Source organism: Homo sapiens, chromosome 12 (genome assembly GCF_000001405.40).
Source record: "Homo sapiens chromosome 12, GRCh38.p14 Primary Assembly".
In the NCBI taxonomy this organism is placed as follows: Eukaryota; Metazoa; Chordata; class Mammalia; order Primates; family Hominidae; genus Homo; species Homo sapiens.
In genome coordinates this window covers 10867793-10887943 of record NC_000012.12, presented here as the reverse complement: position 1 = coordinate 10887943, position 20151 = coordinate 10867793, and the positions used below count along the sequence as shown (strand labels likewise).

The 20151-nt window shown below is 38.1% G+C and overlaps 1 protein-coding gene and 1 long non-coding RNA gene across 4 annotated transcripts in view; both read left to right on the top strand.

The window, feature by feature from the left end:
* PRH1 (proline rich protein HaeIII subfamily 1) overlaps nucleotides 1-6979 on the top strand; it is a 290647-nt gene extending 283668 nt beyond the window's left edge. The window contains exons 4-7 of one of the 3 annotated variants that reach the window (NM_001291314.2): nucleotides 3669-3790; nucleotides 4848-4883; nucleotides 5246-5727; nucleotides 6888-6979. In NM_001291314.2, coding sequence (NP_001278243.1) covers nucleotides 3727-3790; nucleotides 4848-4883; nucleotides 5246-5709 — 564 coding nt within the window. In that variant the 5' untranslated portion in view covers nucleotides 3669-3726 and the 3' untranslated portion in view covers nucleotides 5710-5727; nucleotides 6888-6979. Of the gene's footprint in view, nucleotides 1-3668; nucleotides 3791-4847; nucleotides 4884-5245; nucleotides 5728-6887 lie in introns of those variants that run through there. The other 2 variants (NM_001393989.1, NM_001291315.2) reach the window with 2 other exon arrangements.
* The window catches only part of PRH1-PRR4 (PRH1-PRR4 readthrough), a 325777-nt gene that overhangs the window by 283682 nt on the left and 21944 nt on the right, over nucleotides 1-20151 (top strand). Inside the window, exons 5-7 of the long non-coding RNA NR_037918.2 lie at nucleotides 3669-3790; nucleotides 4848-4883; nucleotides 5246-5727. This is a non-coding gene — a long non-coding RNA (PRH1-PRR4 readthrough). The remainder of the gene's footprint in view (nucleotides 1-3668; nucleotides 3791-4847; nucleotides 4884-5245; nucleotides 5728-20151) is intronic.

The window sequence follows — 20151 nt, the reverse complement described above, 5'->3', positions numbered from 1 at the left end:
AGTGTTAGCCTTGTTCTAAAATAAGCGCCTTCTTAGAAAGTGGTGGATAGCAGAGTGATACTCATGGCTAATGAACAATTTGCTATATTTTCTAAATTGAAAACAACATCGACAACATCCGGTTAAACTGGAATTACAAAGAGAAGAGAAAATCAACTTAATTTTTCCTCATTTACTACAGTGACCCTAGCCATGTGACTTAATTTCTTTAGATATAATTTTTTTTTTGTATTTTTAGTAGAGATGGGAAAAAATTAGTCAGTCATGGTGGCGAGGGACCTGTAATCCCAGCTACTTGGGAGGCTGAGGCAGGAGAATTGCTTGAACCCGGGAGGTGGAAGTTGCAGTGAGCTGAGATCATGCCACTGCACCCCAACCTGGGTGACAGAGCAAGACACCATCTCAAAAAAAAAAAAAAGAAATATGCTAAATTAATTGTGAAATATATATATTTATGGACCACTAACATCAAATTTAAAAATATAGAAGATATTTTTAATAGTTAATTGGCCATAATAGTGTCACCAAACTTTTTAGACAAGTCAAAGCAAGTTGAAGTCTCAGAGACTATTGTGTTTATTTGCTAACTGTATTATCAGAATGCTTAGTTGGTGCAATTAATAGAATAATTCTGCCAATTCATAACACTGCCAGACCACAGCGACCCAATGAAACTCACTGACTCTCAGAGAAGTTTATTCCCTCTGTCAATGTTCATCTTTCCTGGCAAACCATCTTTAGTGTTCCAGGCAAACTAGAGCATGGTGAAGTCGAAGAAGATTCTACTTTCTGTTCCATTCAGAGAGCTTCCTGGTTTTCAAAAAAGAGTGAGGCATGTGGGTGTGAAAGAGCTGAGGCATGAAATTTGGATCTTATCACAAGTGCAGAAGAAAAAACAGGAGATTTGAAGCACAAATGTGATATAACCTAATTTCTACTTTTAAATGATCACTCTGATTGTTGTGAGGGAACTGATATGGGATGAGCTGGGGGAAGAACATTACCAAGACCAGCTGGAGGCTGGTAAAGTCCTCCAGGAGAGAGCATCATGGCTGAACAATCACCTTCTAGTAAAGATCAGGCAAGTGGTCATATTTGGGACGTATTTTGAAAGTGGAGGCAATTAGATCGGCTAATGCATAAGTTCCTGGAGGGAGCGAGGATTTTTGAACCACTAGGTAAACACCTGTCAGTGACCGAGAAAATGTTGGGATGTGTTATGAGAGATGAATCCTAAAATTTCATATGTTGAAGACTGGCCCTTCAGGGCCTCAGAATATGAACATCTATAGTAGAAGGCAAGTGTGGTGCTGAGGGCTGCCACCCACCTCTAGGTACCCAAGCTCCTGCAGCAGTCCTGCGTCTCCCTTTCACCCACCTTCACTCACAGACAGTGTCCCTTTCAGCTCTTCCATTACCTCTGTTTTTGATGTGTCTAGTGAGAGCATAGCTGATATTTATGCTTTCCTGATACACTAGTCTCTCGCTGATTGCTGACATTGGAGCAGGTTAGGGAGCAGGCCTGAGCTGAGTGACCTTTAGGAGGATTTCCTGTTCTTTTCCTGTACTCTGCTGCCAAGGAGAAACCTGTCTTGCACCAGGCCTGCAGCTTCCTCAGTCCCCCACATCATCAGGCAATATCTGCCTGGCACTCCTCTTTGTTCCTTTTCTCTGACCTTCCTTTTTGACATGATGGTTGACCTGAAGTCACCGAGGCAGGACTGCTCATCTCCAGGTCCTATGGGAAACAGTACCTGGTGAAACCAGAGACAATAATCTCCATAACGCATTGGGAGCTGCTGGGCTCAAGCAACTACTCTGTGCCTGAGATACAACTCATACGGCCCAGCTAGAGCTGATCTACTTCCCACAGGGCCAGAGAAGAATTGCCAATTAAGAATGCATTCCCCCCTGAAATAGGTCTATATTTATTCCAGGGAAAATACCAATCTGCCTGGGTCCCTTACAAGAACAATGTCGTCTGTAGCAAAATCTAATCTACTAGGAAGCCTTCTTGTATTATTATCTGCAACTTTTCAGAAGAGCCATACCAGACCCTCATATGCCCAGCACAGGATCCACTCATGCACACCTGTCTAGGGCCTTGTCTTTATGATTTTCTGTCACCTGGCTTCTCAGCCATGCCTCCAACCAAGCTATCCTCAAATAAAGACTAACCATGCACAAAAAGTGAAAAATTACACAAGACCTACTCAAGGTCTGAAATGGAAAGTGCAGCTGGTGATTCTGAGTAGTATATTTTATGAATTGATGAGCAGGGAATTTCTAGGTATCACAGAGCAATCAGCAGCTGAGGAGAGAGCGACAAAACCAGGACTCTGACAGGGCTTTTTGGAAACTTAATTTTTGGAGCAATCAGCAGCTGAGGAGAGAGCTACCAAACCAGGACCCTGACAGGGCTTTTTGGAAACTTAATTTTTTATTGTCAAATTATACAGACAAAAATGAAAGTAAAGGTAGTGAGGAGTACCACACACCTTTACTTAGAAGGATAAATAAAGGACACCTTTGTAGGGAGAAAAAAAAAGATATAGGACGAAAAGTAAACATGGCAAGGTAGACTCAGAATACAAAATTTCAACAAATAAGTGCGAGAAAAAGAATGAGAAAGAATGAGTATTGGAATATTACAGATAAAAATCCTTGGTGAGAAAGAACACTCTGATGAAACAGGTGACATAATTACTGAGTAAAAGCAGAAGACCAATCAAGGCAATTGAGGCTTGGACAGGTATTACAAATTATCTTAGATGAATGTATAATTGTGGCCATTTAATTATCAGTGATGACAATTACAATATTTATTAGAAGAAATAAAGTAGAGGATGAATTCTATGGAATATTCTGGAGAAAGTGGAGGTCTTAGCTATATGACATCGTGTGGCTCACTTAGGGAACCATATATTCAGTTTGTTCAGGTCTAGAAATTCCTTGGTGGTTTCTGAGTTCAGTTTTGCTTTAATAAACCCTAAAGATATTTTTAAAATACAAATATTTTAGCTTGCCTGTGTTGTATAGCACCAAGGCTTGCCTGAGTGTAGTGAGATTCACAGAAGTTTGGACAATTCTTGTAGCCTGAGCAGGCTGCCAGCACCTTTCTCTCATATATGTGTGCCTGGGAGTGTGCTGTCCTCACACATCTCACAGATAAGCAAGACCATCTCTGTTACATGAAAAATTTAGCTAAATGTGAAAATATCCACGCACACACATCATGAGAGATGGAAAGAGGCTATCAAAACAGTCAGAGATATTGACCATCTTCACTGTTAGCTGTAGGATCAGTGTCCACCCCCCGACACACCCACACAAACTCACATACACAGAAATGAAAAGCACAGTGAAAAGCAGAATAGCAGTCTTTCCAAACAGATTGAAAACCAAAAGATGTCTAAAGTTCAATCCTGACACTGTGCCGACTGCTTGGACACAGTTCCGTCAAAACATTTGTCCAAGTCATAGTTGTGCCTTTTAGGAATTAGACACAAACAATATCCTACCCAACCCTTCCTGCTGAGCTAGAGTCCCAAAAGAAATGAGGGATACACTTGACCTGAAGTAAGCAAAGCAGAAGCCAGTCTCTGAGGCGAGGAGGCCCACCTGGTAGGGAGCTCAAATGCACCATTGTCCTGCTTGTCTTTATAAAGGGAGCTGACACGTTTCTCCCAGCACAAAGTTGGGAGTGACACCAGAGCCTCCTGCAAGATGCTTCTGATTCTGCTGTCAGTGGCCCTGCTGGCCTTCAGCTCAGCTCAGGATTTAAATGAAGGTAAGATGAATTGGGGGAAGATATTGTGACTCTGATTGGGGTTTACAGGCAAATGCTATAGAGGAGGAAAGTGGAGGGAAGAGAGGAGGATGAGAAAACAGATGGGACTGCAGAGTTCTCATGCTGAGGATCAGAAGATCTATTGTACCTCCATTCCTCATCAAGGCCTCATAGTTTATTTGTTGCACAAATAGAATCCAATAAAGAATTCGTACTAGGGGTGTGAGAGAGTGAGATTTGCATTATATAGAGACATGGGACTGCTGTGAAGGATGTGGAGAATGCAAGACAGATTCAGGGAAGTACAGCTGTGAAGATCCTGTACTGATCCCAGTAGACAGGGATGATGGTGGCCTTGCTGTACAGTGGATGAGCATTAATGAAGGAGATAAACACATGTCAGAGCTACTGCCGAGGCAGAGAATTGGGTAAACACTTGTCTCTGTCTACATAGAGTTAGAGAATAACCAGAGTGAAACATTGTCATTTTTCTGTCTCCTGAATGTAGTATTTCAATGTGCTGGGAATGGCATGCGTAAGATTATATCCAAGTGGCTATGTCTGGTGGCTCCTGTTGAGAAGGCTTGCAAACATAAACAACATATTTACAGATGAAAGAGGGCAGAAGAATCCCCAAATATGTCATTGAAATACTCAGAGCAGTTTAACTAAATAAGCGCTAAGGGTTTACAGGCAAATGCTATAGAGGAGGAAAGTGGAGGGAAGAGAGGAGGATGAGAAAACAGATGGGACTGCAGAATTTTCATGCCGAGGATCAGAAGACCTATTGTATCTTCATTCCTCATCAAGGCTTGGGGAATCAAAAGAGGACAAACAGGGGCCCTTCTATGTTGAGTTCCTGGTTGACGCTCAGTGTAGTAACAATACTGCTTTCCCTTACATCTTCTTCCACTTCCAGTAGCATCAGAGAGTGGCTGATGAGATCACAAAGGGGATGCACAGGGTGTGATCAGAGGTCCTTTATCCTCGTAGAACACTATGAGCCTTGAATGATTCAGGAAGTAACTTTTCCCATCATCCTGTACTTCTTTTCTAGATGTCAGCCAGGAAGATGTTCCCCTCGTAATATCAGGTAAATCCCAATAAATTCTCAGTAAACTCTGTCTCCATTTTTCCCTGAAAAATTGATGAGTTCTCCAGTGTCTTCTTATCACCATTTTCTTGTCAGGAATTGGCTAATACCAATGCCCCAAAGATACAAACAGTTTTCTCCCAACCTTGATTCTGGGGACCATGAGTAAAGAAATTCAATTTTTCATCACCCTTATGTGGATTAAGAGGAGTTCTAATTAGGAAGCCTTGGGAAGGGGGGAGGTTGGGAGTTGAGAGGCAGGTCAGGCAGAGAGGGGCCGGCCGTGTGGTGAAGACAGAGAGGTATGAAGACAGGAGGGTTTTCCAGCATGAGCTCAGCTCTTCTTGTTTCAACTCACACAGATGGAGGAGACTCTGAGCAGTTCCTAGATGAGGAGCGTCAGGGACCACCTTTGGGAGGACAGCAATCTCAACCCTCTGCTGGTGATGGGAACCAGGATGATGGCCCTCAGCAGGGACCACCCCAACAAGGAGGCCAGCAGCAACAAGGTCCACCACCTCCTCAGGGAAAGCCACAAGGACCACCCCAACAAGGAGGCCAGCAGCAACAAGGTCCACCACCTCCTCAGGGAAAGCCACAAGGACCACCCCAACAGGGAGGCCATCCCCCTCCTCCTCAAGGAAGGCCACAAGGACCACCCCAACAGGGAGGCCATCCCCGTCCTCCTCGAGGAAGGCCACAAGGACCACCCCAACAGGGAGGCCATCAGCAAGGTCCTCCCCCACCTCCTCCTGGAAAGCCCCAGGGACCACCTCCCCAAGGGGGCCGCCCACAAGGACCTCCACAGGGGCAGTCTCCTCAGTAATCTAGGATTCAATGACAGGTACGATTCCAGTTTATTATCCATCAAAGGCTCCAACTGCTACAGTTCTCCAACTTCATTGTGCCAATGAATCCTCTGAAAACCTGTTAATATTGCCCTGTCCTGGAACACATTTCTAAAAATTGTTATTCAGATATTCTTGTATAGAGTATCAAGACCCTGTGACCCTGTGTTTTACAGAAGCTCTTGAAGGCAATTCTGATTTTGAGAATCACTATCTTCAAATTACATGTCTTAAGTAGGGTTGACAATGAGGACATAGAACCATGTTCCCCCTTTGGCTCTCTCTATTTTCTTTCCTCAAACTCAGACTCCCATTTAAAGTTTTCACCTGAACATGCTTTGCTCAGTCCTGCCTCACATCAGGCTTTCAGGTCCAGTATTCCTGCTAAGTGGTCCTTGAACTTTCAGTTGTAAAATGGTATCTCATTTTTAGTATACTTACATTTAAAGTCATACATGCTTAAGCTAACAAAAACTAATCTCACTGAACCGAAATGTACAGAGCTAAATAGTAAGAGCCTAACTCATCTTTCCTCCCTTCTATCCTTCTCAAAACCCCCACCTTTTACTCTTTGGAATCTACTTTTTGAAATATATATTGCTACATAAATATATATAATGCTTTTATTACAAGCACTTATACCATACTGTATATTCAGATTTGTGTCTTACTCACTGGAAAAATTTATTGTTTAGAAAACTTTCTCATGAGTTCATTTAGATCTCTTCAGTGTTTATTGGTTAGTTTGTTTTTACAATTGTATACTATTCTATTGTTTGGTTGTTCCGTAATCTATTTAACCAATCCCTGTCACTGGATATTAAGGCTGGATTCACATTCTCACTATTATATGATATGTTGCAGTGCCCATCTTTGTAAAAATAGCCCTTACATAACCAACAGCAGCAAAGCATGAACACATAACAATAATTGTTTCTCTTTCTCATCTAAGCAACACTTTAAATCACATTATGTGCAATGGCTTAAAGAGTGAACAAAGAAAATATTACTAAGGAGAAGGGGGCTGTAGAAGGGATAGAGGGCAAGAGTAGGGGCTTGCATCTCCATCACTGCAGTAACCCCCAGTGAGGGATTAGACATTTCCTGCCATGTCAAGTGTTGTCTGTAATCTTCCTTGTTTGCTTGTCTTTTTCAGGAAGTGAATAAGAAGATAACAGTGTTTCAAATGCCGTGAAACATGGCATCATGCTCTAACTTCAGTATACCAATAAAACAATCAGCTTGCAATTTCTGCTGGTGGTGTCTCTTTCTGAGTGTTTGGGACTCTAGAATCTGAGACCCATGTTCACATTGTAAGAATATCCAGGACCCCTTCTCCTTGATGTTTCCAGCAAGCTTCTCTCCTCCTTATCCTTATTAAGTCATCCACCTGGGGAAGGAGTTCCACTGTTTCTTTCCTTCTCTGTCTTCTATAGCTCGAATTTAAGTTGTACAATTATTTTCAGGTCATTTCTTGATATTCTAGTCAGCTTATGAATGTAAGCAAAACAATACCAATGAAAGAAAATCCCAGAAGCTGAGAGAAATTTTAACAAGTTCAAAAGTAACCGATTTTGTTTTCTAGGGAAATGAGTATGGTTCTATGCCTCTATTCCCCAGAAGCCACTAGACCTATTTTCCCATATTTTATCACTGATCAGTTCTGTCCCTGCCTATGAGTCTTACTATTCTTAAGAAAACCTAAATGGATTTCATCAGAGGCAGCCTGACTTGAATGGGCAAAGAATTTGGAATCTCTCAGATTGCAGTTTAAGAACTATGTCTTGCTAACTCTGGACTCATAGGAAGCTACTTAAGTCTCAGAGCCTAAGTTTCCTCTTCTAAATTTTTGAATAATCAAAATGGCTCCCCTAAAGGATGAAGACTAAGCAGATCACATACATGAAACACTAGTGGATATAGTCATGTCTGCTTCACAATAATGATTTTAGGAAAGAACAGCAGACATGAAATTGTGAGGAATTAAATGTTCCCGAGTTAAAAATCTTAAGATTTCTTTGTCCAAAAAATCTAAGTAGAATAGTCTCTGATATTGTTTTTTTCTAGGCTTTCAAACAAAATAGGAACACACTGAGTATTCATATTTTTTTTAGCATTTTCTTTCTTATCAGACCCGTAAAATTCTAATTAGGTTTTTTTTAAAAAAAATAGTATCTGCTTATGGAAATTTAATTATGACAATTAGAAATGCAGGCTCTTTCTTCCTCCTCCTCCTCCTCTTCCTTCTTTTTTATTTCTCCTACTCCATCTCCCTCTTTTTCTTTTTTGAAAAAATATGCTTAAATTTGCCTTCAATTATATTTATTTATTTATTTATTTATTTATTTATTTATTTATTTTGAGATGGAGTCTCATTCTGTCACCCAGGCTGGCCTGCAGTGGCAAGATATCGGCTCACTGCAACCTCCGCCTCCCAGGTTCAAGCGATTCTCCTGCCTCAGCCTCCTGAGTAGCTGGGATTACAAGCATGCACCACCATGCCTGGCTAATTTTTGTATTTTTAGTTAAGACGGGGTTTCACCATGTTGGTCAGGCTGGTATCGAACTCCTGACCTCGTGTTCCATCCGCCTCGGCATCCCAAAGTGCTGTGATTACAGGCGTGAGCCACCGCACCCGGTCACCCTCAATTTATTTTTAAACTTTATTTTTATAAATATATGTGGTTCAAAGATAATTTTGTTACATGTATACATTGCATAATGGTTAAATCATGGCCTTAGGGTTTCCATAACAAGAATAACAAATATTGCATTTACTAATTAATGTCTAACTCTTAATTCCCTCCCACCCACTCACTCTTCCAAGGCTTCAGTGTCTATAGTTCTCCCCTCTATATCTATGTAAACACATTTTAGCACCTACTTATTAGTGACAACATGTTATACTTGACTTTCTGTATCTGGCCTTTGTCACATAGCATATTATCTGTCACATCCAGTTCCATTCGTATTGCTACAAAAGGAGTGATTTCGTTCCTTCTTTTTTTTTTTTTTTTTTTTTTTTGCAGAGTAGTATTGCATTGTGTATATATCACGATTTCTTTACCTACAAACCCATTAGTATCCATTGATGGTTACTTAGGTTGATGCCATATCTTTGCTGTTGTGTATGGTGTTTCAATAAACATAGAAGTGCAGATTTATTTTTCATATACTGATTTCATTTCCTCTGCATAGATACAGTAGTAAGATTGCTAGATTGAATAGTAATCGAGTTTTAGTTCTTTGAGAAATCATACTGTTTTCCATAGAGTTTATACTATTTACTTTCCAATCAGGGTGTATAAGAGCTCTCCTTTCTCCACATCCATCCCAACATCTGTTTTGTTTGTTTGTTTGTTTTAATCATAGCCATTCTGAATAGGGTAAGGTGATAGTGTGGTTTTGATTTTTATTTCTCTGATGATTAGTGATATAGAGTATTTTTCACATACTGTTGATTATTTGTATGTCTTATTTGAAAAGATGTCCATTTCTATCTCTTGTTCACTTTTTAATGGACTATTTTGTTGTTTTTGAGTTGTTTGTTTGTATATTCTGGTTATTATTCTCTGCCAGTCCTATGCTCAGTAGGGTTATCATTGGGAGCTGTGTAGACATTGCCACTAGTCCAAACTCAGAAGTGAGGCATAGGGGAGCATAACATGCCTGGCAGGGGCTCTCGAAGCTTGGGCAGATCAGTCCTGGGCTCCAGCCCAACGTCTAGTGTGCTTCTCTAGCAGACAGCCCTGTGCCCCCCTCCTCCCACCTCTCAGATTGCGGGGTCAGGATTGTTACAGGGAAACACAGACACCTTTAGTCTCTATGCCAGCTTATATGAGCAATCTCCAAGCAACAGGCTGAAGGACTTACATGGAAATGTGATCTAAACCTAGAGTCTAGCTTGCTTTATAATGTGTGATTATTAAGAGTTGGAGTATGTTAGCCACTAATTGTCTTCTTGCACTGAGCCCTGAAAATGTTAAATTTGGGCTTTTGGATAATCATTGGGCCCTTTCGATATGGAGAATTAACCTTTAGTTCTGGGAAATGTATTGTTTCATTGATGTGTTTCTCAATATATTCTGGTTTCTTGGTCTGAAATTAATGATTGTTGATATTAAAGAGAACAGGTTATAGAAGGTGGAAATCAAGATTCTACTTGGTACACGGTATGTTTACATTCATTTTAAATGACAGGTGGATTGCTGAGGTCCTTGACTCCTGTACAGATGCCTAAGCGCCTGCTGCAGTCCTGCTCCTGGCTTTGACTCCATTCTAAGTCAGTCACAGTGTCTCCTTCAGCTCTTTGGTAATCTCTGTTTTGGTTGTCTGGTAGGTTGATACCCAATATTTATTCTTGCCTGAAACACAAATCTCTCTCACTCATTTCTGACATTAGAGAGGGTCAGGAATAGGGTGTGAGTTGAGTGATATATGGAAGCATCACCTGTTCTCTTCCTGGACTCAGGAGACAAGGAGAAGCCTGCCTCCCACCAGGACTGGAACTTCCTCAGCTACCCACTCAAAGAGGCACATCTGACTGGCATTCACCTCTGCTCATTCTCTCTGACCTTCCTTACCTACTTGAAGGTCTACTGTAAGCTACCTAGGCAAAACTGCTCATGTCCAGTAACTCTTTTGAAGTAATGTTTGGTGAAACCAGAGACAATCATCCTGTTAACATCAGGGTACCTGCTAGGCCCAAGCAGCTACTCTATGACTCCCTTAAAGCATGTGACACTTAGTTGCAACTGTTTGACTTTCCACATAGCTGCAGAATATTTGACCACTGGTATTATATTCCTTCTCAACCCACATCACTATTTATGTCAGCAGAAAAACAGAAAGTTAATCTGCCTAATCAACTAGAAAATTCAATGTTACCTGTAGCAATTCTTATATTATTGAAAGGCCTTCCTGTAATGTAGTAGGTCTTTAAAAAGTTCATGAAAATGTATGTTATATTAAGAAATACCATAAAAGGATTCCACATTTTTTGGCATCAAAATGAACCTAAACTGATATGCTGTAAGATGTCTGAATAGGAGCTATTTCAAGGAATAATGAAAAATAAGACAGGAGTTTCAAAACATCCCCTATAAGAGCAAAATACATTTTTCTAAAATTAAAGTGAAAACAAAGAGAAAATTTATGGTTAAGCTTGCATGAAAGAAGGTAAAACCACTGATGCTTTCTGAAAAGTTCATATGGATAATGGCTGAAGAAATCAGCAGTTCACAAGTAGATATGTTATTTCAAGAAGGGATGAAATGGTGCTGAACCTCAAGTCTACGGTGACAGAGTATTCATATCAAATGTATCTTGTTGATACCATGATAGAAGAGGAATGAAGATTAAGAGTACAAACAATAGCCAACCCTTCATGTTTTTTAATTGGTTCATCTTACATGATTCTAACTGAAAAATTAATGTTGAGCAAATTTTTCACTCTGTGGATGCCAAAACTATGGCAACCAGAGCAGCTACAGACAAGAGAAGAAGCTTCCCTGAAAATTTAAATAAGGGGATAAAGATCCTGAAGCATTTCATCAAAGAATTGTGACAGCAGATATAACATGGCTTTATCAGTACAATCATGAAACAAAGCACAATCAAAGCAATGGCTACCAAGAGGTGGAAGTGGTCCAGTCAAAGAAGAGTGGATGAGGAAAGTGCAAAGGTAATTGTAAGAGTTTATTGGGAAGCTCAAGGCATTTTGCTTATTGACTTTCTGAAGGGCCAGAGAAGGACAATATATGCTTATTCTGAGAATATTTTGAGAAAGCCAGAACTCTAGTAGAGAAATGCCTGGGGGAGCTTCAGCAGAGTCCTTCACCACGACAGAGCTCCTGCTCATTTCTCTCATCAGACAGGGCAATTGGTGAGAGTTCTGATAGAAAACCATTAGGCATCCACATTACACCCTAATTTAGATCCTTTGGATGCTTTTTGTTTTGTAATCTCGTAACATCTGTAAAGACTATTTATTATTCTTCAGTTAATGTAAAAAGGACACACCAATAGCTGGTATGTTGACCAAAATGTATGAAAATTTCCCTTATGCTGTTCATTAATGAGTAGGATAGGGAAATGGTTGAAAACTGAGTATCTGATGGTAGAATTGAAACAAACTTACCAAATGACACCTTTACATTTGCTTTTTTCCATAGAGAACAAGAGGTAGAAGAATTAAAGATACTCCATCACTGTTGTAGACCTTTGGGGAGACCTAAAATTCAAATGTTTATTCAATTGGTTTTGAGCAATGTCTGCACTGCTTGAATTTGAAATTAAATGTGTCTTGTTTACTTGCATGAAGACACTTTATACATATCTCCCTTATCACTTCTATTCCTCTACTCTGATCTCAGTTCCTTTAAGGATTTGAGCTGGGCCTGAGATATCCCTGACTCAAATGAGACAAAAGCTTAACAGATCCATCCCAAAATTTTGTAAAGCATCAAGGAGGGTAGGGATTAAAATTGCTTATATGTGTTCAAATCACTATTCTACTTGGCTCTGTGGGAAATGGGGAAGGAGTGCTGAAGGATATAGGATGGAGCCACTTGTGATACCGAGGCAAGAAAGGAAGAGACTCCAAGTCTGTAGACTCCCTAGACACTGGGAGGTGCACTTTAAAAAGGTAAACCCTGGAGCAAGAAGTCAAGTGAAAAAGAAAGCCTTTTTGGTGGCCCTAGTCTTTTTTGTTTTTTGGGTGGTTTTCATTGTTGTTTTTTCAGACTTTGACTTGCTCTCTCTCTTAGGCTGGAGTGCAGTGGCGTAATCATGGCTCACAGTAGCCTTGCTCTCCCAGGCTCAATCTATACTCCCAGCTCACCCTCCCAAATAGCTGAGTCTACAGGTGCAAACCACCGAGCCAGGATCCTTTTGTAATTTTTTTATAAAGACTGGGTCTTACTATGTTGCCCAAGCATATCTCAAATTCCTTGTGTCAAGGAATTCTCCCACTTCTGCCCTTGAAAGTAGTTGGATTACAGGCATGAGCCATTTCGCCAGGCCTGTAGTCGTTGATTTTACCTCAGCCGTATTATCCACTTTCTATAAATCCCCAGTCAGAAGACAGCAGGCCTACCCGGGTACTGTAATAGACTCTAATTAAGCAGGTGTTAAACTGTGTTGTTACTGTAGGGAAGAAAGGAAAATGAAGTCCTCAAATTCAATTGAGATTTGAGCAAATGATGCACAAAAGAAAACTAAAAAAGACTTTGTGAATAGGAATTTTTTGGGACCCCTTCAGTGCACACTATGTATGCTATGATGTTAAATATACTTATAGTTTTATCTCGTAAGAGCCATAAAGGATCATCCAGGCAGAAGCTCCAAGTAGAAAAATGTTAGTGGGACAAAATCCCCTGCTATCTGAACCAGTGAGTGGATCTCAATTAAGCAAGAAGGCCTCTACCCTCCAATGTCCAAAACTTCCTTCATTGAACTTATTGTGTACTGTAAACAGAGAAAGTCCTGTGTGTGGGATAAAATAGAAAATTACTCAACATACTTTATAAAATCAGAAACAATCGACCAATTCTCAAGGAGTTAAATAATCAAGAGATGATAACCTTGAAACAATCTGGATATTAAAACGGTGAGATTTTCAATCTCACTGAAGCAGGTGTTACAAACATCCATTATGAGGTCAATGTGTACACTCTCAATTTAAATGGAAAAAAAATTCCCAGCAGAAAAAAGAAACTATATAATATAATGACATAGAAATTTTGATACTGAGATATGTAGTGTAAAAAATTAAATAAAATATTATTTGGTGTGATCACTAACAGAAAGGAAATGATGGAGGAAAGAGTCAGTATTCTTGAGGCTGGATTAATAGAAACTGTATACTCGAACACAGGGTAAAATTTTAAATACTGTTATGAACAAGAAAGGTTATAACAAATAATGTGATAATGATAAAATCTGAGCTTCAGAAGGGAAGAACAATGAGGATGCTATTGAGAGAGAACTCAAAGACATAATGGCTGAAAATTCTCCAAACTTGCAATGGGCATAAACCTACAGATGCAAGAAGATGAGCAACTGCCAACCAGAATATACCCAAGAAAATCCATGCAAGCAACACTGTAGTCAAATTTCTAAAAACTAAAAAAAATGTTTTGAAAGCAGCAAGAAACAAATGACACCATAGCTATAGGGAAAACACAATGTGAGTAACAGTGGTGTTATTACCAGAGAGCAGAATAACCAATAGGATGTAGCTAAAATATTCAAAGTGCTGAAAGAAAAAAAATGTCAACCAGATGTTTATGTCCAATATAACTACTCATCAATAAAGAGAAAATACAGGCATTCTTAGAAGACAGAAAAAAAAATCTAAGAGAATTTCTTTCCAACAGACCTATCTTATAAAATGGTTCTATGAAGGTCACTAATCATAAAGGAAAAAATAGAATAGGATTTTTCTGGAACATCAAGAATGAGCAACAACAACAAGAATGAGCAACAACAACAACAATGACAACAAGCCAAAAACAAAAATTGGAAATACAAAGTAGGTAAACACAAAATATCTTTCTTCTCACGTTTTCTGCATGAGTTTCAAATGGCTCAACTGGCCATTGCTAGCTTTAAAGATGGAAGAGGGCCAAGGAATGTGGCAAGATAATGAGCTTTTCTTCTAGAGACTCCAGGAAGGAACTCAGCCTTGAGACATGGATTTAACGCAGTGAGACCCAGTTCAGATTTCTGAGCTGCAAACCTGGAAGACAATAAATTTATGTCAAAGCAAAAATGACAAAATTTACTGTGGCACTAAATGCACATAGACATATATTTAATATGATTCTGTTACAAACAGTGGGAAAGGGGGAGCAGTTAAAAAGACAGGAAAGCAAGGTTTCCATATTTTACTGAATAGGGTAAAATGTGCACAGCACTAGGCTGTGAAAAGCTATGTATGCATAATGTAACACGGAGCAACCACTAACAATGCTGTACAGAGAGTCACGCAAAAAATTTACAGATCAACTAAAATGGAATCAAAAAACATTTTCAAGGAATCCATAGATCAGGAAAAAGAAAAACAATCAAAAGTAGTATAAATATGAAAAACAAAAATGGCTCAAAAATACCAATAATTACATTAAATGTAAATGGTTATTAAAAGTAGATTTCTGCCATTTCAGTTTCTGACTTACACTATTGCATAGATACTATGCAATACTAATAATACTAATAATGTTTTATACCATTAGCTCTTTTATTCCTATGGTAGCCCTTTAATAATTCCTTGCATTATGTTTACTCTTCAGATGAAAAAACAAAAGCTCAATATGATTGCCTGACATTTTCAGTCATATAGCTGGTAAACATCAGTCTGCTTGCTTAAATGTATTACTGAGTAATTAATTTTTTATAGCTTTGTAAAGGGAATTTCATAGCTGATTTTTCATTCCTGCTGGGTTATTGCTAGTATATAGAAATGCTACTAATTTTTGCATATTGATATTTTATCCTGCAATGTTATTGAATAGTCCTAAATTTTTTTGGTGGAGTTTAGATTTTTCTTTTTTTATGTTAACAATTTTTTTAACTTTTATTCTAAGTTCAGACGTACAACTGTATGTTTGTCACATAGGTAAACTTGTGTCATGGGGGTTTGTCGTACAGATTATTTCATCACCCAGGTATCAAGCCTAGTACCATTAGTTATTTTTCTTGATCCTCTTTCTCCTTCCACCCTCTACCCTCTGAAAGGCCCCAGTGTGTTTTTCCTAATATAAGACTATGTCGTCTGCAAACAGGAACAATTTAACTTCCTCTTTTCCAATTTGGATGGCTTTTATTTTTTTTGCTTGCCTGATTCTTCTCGCTAGGACATGACATAAAGTAAAATGTTGACTGAGTGGTGTCTTATTTCAGTTTTTAGAGAAATGGCTTTCAGTTTTCCCCATTCTGTATGTTAGGTGTGAGTTCGTCACATGTGGTTACATTATATAGAGGTATATTCCTTCTTTGTGTAGTTCGTTGGGAACTTTTATCATAAATGGATGCTAACTTTTATCAAATGCTTTTTCCTACATCTATTCATATGCTTATTTGGTTTTGTCTTTATTCTGTTAATGTGATGTACCACATTTATCGATTCATGTATGCTGAACCATTCTTGCATCCCTGGGATAAATACCACTTGATTATTGCTAATTATCTTTCTGATGTGTTCTTAGATTTGGTTTGCTAACATTTTCTTGAGGATTTTTGTGTCTGTGTTCATCAGAAATACTGACCTCTAATTTTTGTTATAGTTATTGTTGTTGTGTTCGTGTATGTTTTTAGCATTGGGGTATTCCTGGCATTGTAAAATTAGTTAGGAAGTATTCTCTTCTCTGAATTTGTTGGAATTGTTTGATGAGGAATGCTTTTCCTTTTTCCTTATAAGTTTGGTAGAATTCATCAGTGAAACCATCTAGGCCTGGACTTTGCTTTGTTGGGAGATTTCGTTTTTATTACTGATTCTATTTCTTTACTCATTATTAGTCTGTTCAGGTTTACCCTTCTTTCCTGGCTCATTTTGTGTGAGTTGTATATGTCAGGGAATTAATCTTTTTCCATGGTGTTCAATTATAGTGTATACTTGTTCAAAACATACGGTTTCATTAGTGTATTATTGTCCAAAATATACAGTTGTATTTCTATGATATAAGTTGTAATATCTTCTTTTTAGTTTCTGATTTTGTTTCATTCAGTTTTTTCTGTCTATATATATATTTTTATATATGTATAGATACACAATATCTATACTATATATATAGTATAGCATATATATATATACGTGTGTGTGTGTGTATATATATATATACACACACATATATAGTATAGCCTAGCTAGACACTTAGGAATTTTATTTATTGTTTCAATAAACCAACTTTTCATTACATTGAGTTTGGGTTTGTTTTTTTTTAGTTTCTAGTTGTTTGGTTCTGCTCTTATTTTTACTATATTTTTCCTTTCACTAATTTGGGGTTCAGTTTGTTTTTAGTTTTCTAGTTCCCTCAGGTGGATCACTGGGTTGTTTAATTGAAATCTCTCTACTTTTGGATGAAAGAATTTATTCAGAGCATCTCCCCTCTTAGCACTATTTGTGCTGTATGTTGTGTTTACATTGTCATATTTCAAAAACATTTTAATTTTCTTCTAAATTTCTTCATTGAACCAGTGGTTGCTCAGGAGCATGTTGTTTAATTTCCATGTATTCTTACAATTTCCAAAGTTCCTCTTAATATTGATTTTTAGTTTTATCCATTGTGGTATATGAAAATAAAGTATACTGCTTTTTCAAAATGTACTGAGACTTGTTTTGTGGCCTAACATACGGTCTGTATTAGAAAATCTTCCACAGGCTAATAAGAAAAATGGTATGTTTTGCCACTGTTAAATAAAAATGTCTATAATGTATATTGGGTCCCCTTATTCTTAAGATTAAGTCCAATATTTCTTTGTAGATTTTCTGTCTAAATAATCTGTTTAATGCTGAGAGTCAGGTGTTAAAGTTTACACTACTATTGTATTGGAATCTATTTATCCTTTTAGATGTCATAATGATAGCTTTATGTATCTAGGTATACTCTAGTGTTGGGGGAATATATTTAGTTTTGTTATATCCTCATGCTAAATTGATCTTTCTATTCTTAAATAATAACCTTCTTTTTCTCTCATTACTGTTTTTGACATAGAGTCTATTTTATCTGATGTTAATATACCTATTTCGACTTGTTTTTGTTTCTGTTTACATGGGATATTTTCTTCTATCCCTTCATTTTCAGTCTATATGTGTCTTATTAGGTGAAGTCAGTTTCTTGTAAGCAGCATATAGTTAGGATATTTTTTAAAAATTCACTCAGCCAGTCTATGTCTTTCAAGTGGAGAATTTAATCAATTTTCAATCAAGATTATTATTCATATGTGAGAAATTACTTCATTTTGTTATTTGTTTTTGTTTGTTTTACATATACTTTGTTTCTTTTTCTCTCACTTTTTATTATTGTGGTTTAGTATTTTTCTATAATAGTAAAATTTAAATCATTTCAAGTCTTCATTTGTCTGCTGTACTAGGGAGTATTTTAAATTTTTTGTGTTTTCATGACGGTAGATATTGTACTTTTGCTTTCAGGAGCAGAATTCCCTTAAGCATATCTTGTGGGGCAGTCATTGTGGTGATGAATTCTCTGTTTTTGCTTTTCAGGGAAAAACTTTATTGTTACTTCATTTTGAAGTTCGCCTGTGCTGAAGATAGTGCTCTTGGCTGGCAGATTTTTTTTCTTTGAACACTTTAAATATATGATTTTATCTCTCTTTCACAGTTTATACAGTGAAAATCACTGTTAATCTGATGAGGGTTCCATTATCATGACTCGATGCTTTTATCTTACTGTTTTTAGAATTAACGACTTTTGGCTTTTGACAGTTTGACCACTGTATGCCTTGGAGAAGGACTTCTGGGGTTGTGTCAATTTGAGTATCATTGAGGTCCTCTATTTGAATGTCTAAATCTCTTGCTAGACTTGACTTGACAAATTTTCAGCTATTATTTTTTTTTCTTTTTTTATTTTATTTTATTATTATTATACTTTAAGTTTTAGGGTACATGTGCTTAGTTTAAAATTTTTGTCATGCCTCTGCCCATCTCTTCTTCTTGAGTATTCTGGAATACTCAGAATCAAACCTTTGGTAACTACATGGTATGTTATATTGAATACTGGCTTTATTTAGATGATTTATTATATTTTCTATCTGGTTTATTTCAGAAATCTAGTCCTCAAGTGGTGAATTTTTTTCTTCTGCCTTACCTAGTCTATCGTTGAAGCTTTTGAAAATATTTTTTTTTTTTTACTTTATTCATTGAATTCTTTACTACCAAGATATCTGTTTGGTCTTTCTCATGACATCTAGGTATCTGGTGAATTTCTTATTCATATTCTGATTTTTTTCAGATTTTTGTATTGATTATCTTTGCTCTATTATATTTAACTAAGCTTCTATGATATCATATTTATGAATTTTTTAGAAGTTCATAGATTTTATTTTTGTTGCAATCTCCTGCTGAAGAATAATTGTGGTCCTGTAGGGGTGTCATGTTTTCTAGCATCTTCATGTTTATTGAGTCCCTATATTAGTATATGCACGTCTGGAGTAACAGCCTCTTCTTGATTGGCTTTCATAGGGGAACACTATTTTTTCTATAGATATATCTGTAGTGTTGGTTGCATACAGCACTTTAGCTTTGATTCTGGGTGTATACACTAGCATAATATCTGTATGGTTTCTTTGTCTCTAGTCGGGATCAGTGGTCTGTGATTTCCTCAGTTGCTAAGACTGAGGTTGTTAGTAAAAGTTTTTGTGAGGTTTTGATGGGAACAGGGGTACTAGATGGGCCAGTCTGCAACACATGTTAGTGGCAGCAGTGGAATGAGCATGCCGGTCTTTGAGCCTCCAGACAACAAACATTGACACCAATATCCACAGTTTCAGTTGGGTAAATTATTGTACCTCCAGGGAGTTTCCTGTGGTGCTGGAAGTTGCAGTGGTGGGCCTGGTGAGTGAGTGGTTCTTGAGACTTTGTGCAATGTGCCTGGCATGGGTGATAGCAATAGCAGTAGCAAGACAACCCTCAGGCTTCCAGGTTGAATGTGCTGGTGGTAATGGTGATGGCAATGGCCTATGTAGGCCAGTCCTAAGAATCCAAGGTGTCACATGCAGGTACGTACTGGCAATGGTCTTGGCACAGGCTGTGTAGGTTTGTCCTCAGACCCATCAGAGAAGTACATGGGTGCCAGCAGTGCTGGATGGAATGGGATGAACCCAGACCAGCTCCAAAGTGTCGGCAGTGATTATTATTCTTGCAGGTCAGGAAGAGGGAGGAATTTTCTGAAGGGTCAGTGTGGTTTCAGAGATAGCATATGGTTGTCTCAACAAAATAGCTACCCACTAGTTCCAAAGTGTTGCTGTAGAGGCAAGCTGACTTACTACCCCAACAAACAGAATACCAAAAACAAATATAGAGCTTTGAGATCTATGTCAGGAAAAATACATAGCTCAAGTATGAAAATGAGATGGTTCTCAGGGCCAAAGAGAAGTGGAAAATCATCAAGAAGACAGTAGGAGATGGGACTTCCACCTCCATGATGTCCCTCCTTCCTATTCTTCCTGGCACCACACATGCAGAGAATCTCCCCCAATTCATGGATTTTAGAGTGAATAAAGTGAAATTGATGTTCTCAAACAGATTATTTACCACCTTGGATTCCCTGGCAAGAAACTTGTTCTTCCTTAGCCCATGAGATGCATTATGACTCCCTTAGGGAAGATGAATATTCTCTGTCCTCAGGGAGGAATATTCCTGAAGAGAGCAAGAGACAAAATAGGGAGGAGGGAAGATCATC